Here is a 2,356-nt window from a genome sequence, read left to right as displayed (position 1 = left end):
AATAATGCAAATCTGATTATGCCATTCCCCTGATTATAACCCCATCCCAGTGCTGCATTCTCTTATTCTGTTTGTCTTTTTATGTGTACTTAATGTCATCGCTATACTTTTTTCCCTTGTTTATATTGTTCTCTTCTCCCTCCCCCCACCTCAATTATAGAATGAAAAAAAAAAAAGGTCCTTCTGTCTTGGTCATTATCTGTCTCCCCATGCTTACAAGAGTATTGACACCCAATAGGTGTTCAAAAATTATTTGCTAAATAAATTAACGAACCTGCAAACCAAGGCTGATATACAGTCCATCCCTCTTTATTTTAGAACGTTCTCCCCAATATCCCAGTGTTAACTCCAAGCTTTGGCAAACTGCTGGGTTGCCTAAGTTAGGCTCTCAGGGATTCAATGTCTGCTTATCTCTTTATTTAGTTGTAGCCAGTGTTCTAATTCCGATTATAAACTGACTTCCCTTTTCTTTCCACTATGTCTCTTTCCCACTATACCTTCAGCTGTACAACTCTAGAAGCAATGGTTCCTCCTGTTAGATTTCAGCTTATAACTAGTTATGGCTCCTGTCTGTTCTTTCCTTATATCCAAGGTTACCTTTCAACCTTGACTAAGCTGCTATTCTCAGCTTCCACTGTCCCAGTTCCCTCCGCTGGGCCAACTGATACTTGCAAATCATCACTTAGCCTTTAAGTCCTGTAGCATTCAGTGGATCCCAGGCAGAAAGCACATGAGGTGACTAAGCCAGAGGAGTGCCTCCTTCTGAGCACATATTCAGAATAAATGTTTCCTCCAGGCTGACATTTGCAAGACTTCTCTGCATAAAGATAAGCACTTGTTTAAAAAAAAATAGCTTGTATTTTTGTGCTTATTGAGTTCACCTATGAATCTATGATGAGAACAGCATTGGTCAACCCCCAAAGAAAAATTAAGCTGCATTTGAATTATTCCCAACTGTTCTCTCATCTTAAAACTTAGCTGCTCACTTAGAAGTTAAGAAACTTCTAAGTTTCTGCAACAAGCAGCTGGCAAAACAGTCCTAATGGCAGAGATGGGACACCACGCACAACTTTGGCTGGCATTTTCAGGATTTTTAAATGCTTGGTTGCAATTGTCACTTCCAGAAGGATTTCATGAAGATTAATAATGTAAGAAAAAGGCCATCTTTCAAGTAACTGAACACAGTAACTATTAGACAGTACATTTTTCTGGCAAAATTGGAAAAAAGAAGAAATGTTTCTTCTTGTAGGTCCATCCCTATTTTAATTGTGTTTTTTTCTTTAAAAATATGTATTCCTATACCATTACATCATTATACATATAAATATATACACACATGCATATGCATACATTTATATACACATTCAGATATATATGCATATATGTATGTATAAATGTATAATATTTGGTAAGGTTACTTTGATAATAACAAATAATATAGATTAACTGGACTAGCAAATGTACTGTAGTAGGCACTCAATAAATATTAGCCATTAATACTGCTATATTATCAAATTTCTATAAATAATTAATACTTTAAAAAGAAAAAGGGAGATCAACTTCCAGTATGAGAGTGTGAAGACCTTCCTGACCTGCTCTGCAGTGAAACTAGTAAAAACTATTTTTAAAAAACTGTTTAAATCCTCTGGAAAATGATCCTAAGGCCAAAATGCAAGTGAAGAAACATTTATTCAAAAATATGGATAAGAATTCAGCAAGAAAGGTGAGAAATCTGTGATATTTTAAGCGGGACTCCTTCCCCCCAACCCAGCAAGGCAAATCCTCCACTCTAGACTGCTGCAGCCAAGGACACAGGTTCCTGCTCACCCCAGCACCCACAAGGAGGGCTCGCTTCTTGGGGGGAGCATGCTATCAGCATTTTCATCCTGCCCCTAGTTACTGGTTGCTGAAGATAAGTCCCAGGTTGAGGGCGGGGGCTCCCTTTTTCTGCTTAGCCTTTTCTCATGGAACAGAGGCTGTAACTTGGGTGCAGCACCTGAGACCACTGGGGCCATGACCACTCTTTTCTGGATCATGAGTTGGTGGTTTCATGCCAAGAGAGGAGAGACAACAGGATCCCAGACAGCTGCCCCCCATGAAGCACTGAGCTTCTAAAACACGAGTATCACCCACAGAGAAGCTTGGCACATCCTCACTCCCAGCCTCAGATCCCTGGTTCAGAGACTTTGCTGGGAGAGAAATAGGACGTAATATAGATAGCTTCAATTCTTTTTTCAAAAGAACTGACTTCACTTGGAAGAGAATGAAGAGGTTCAACCCCCAAAGCTTGAAAACAATCTTAAAAATGGTAGAGATTGTGGTGAAAGGCAATTGGAATATGATTCAGAATACCAGC

At 39.2% G+C, this 2,356-nt stretch overlaps 1 annotated feature.

The window, feature by feature from the left end:
* Positions 1,738 to 2,056: a transcriptional cis regulatory region, noted in NCBI's record as "candidate enhancer chr2.2992 targeted for multiplex CRISPR interference". NCBI's record gives its function as "positively regulates TMSB10 gene expression in K562 cells {active_cell/tissue: K562}" and the evidence as "EXISTENCE:mutant phenotype evidence [ECO:0000015][PMID:30612741]".

This window comes from Homo sapiens, chromosome 2 (assembly GCF_000001405.40).
Source record: "Homo sapiens chromosome 2, GRCh38.p14 Primary Assembly".
Taxonomy (NCBI): Eukaryota; Metazoa; Chordata; class Mammalia; order Primates; family Hominidae; genus Homo; species Homo sapiens.
Note: the sequence above shows the minus strand (reverse complement) of the source record. Positions and strands in the feature narration are given on the sequence as shown.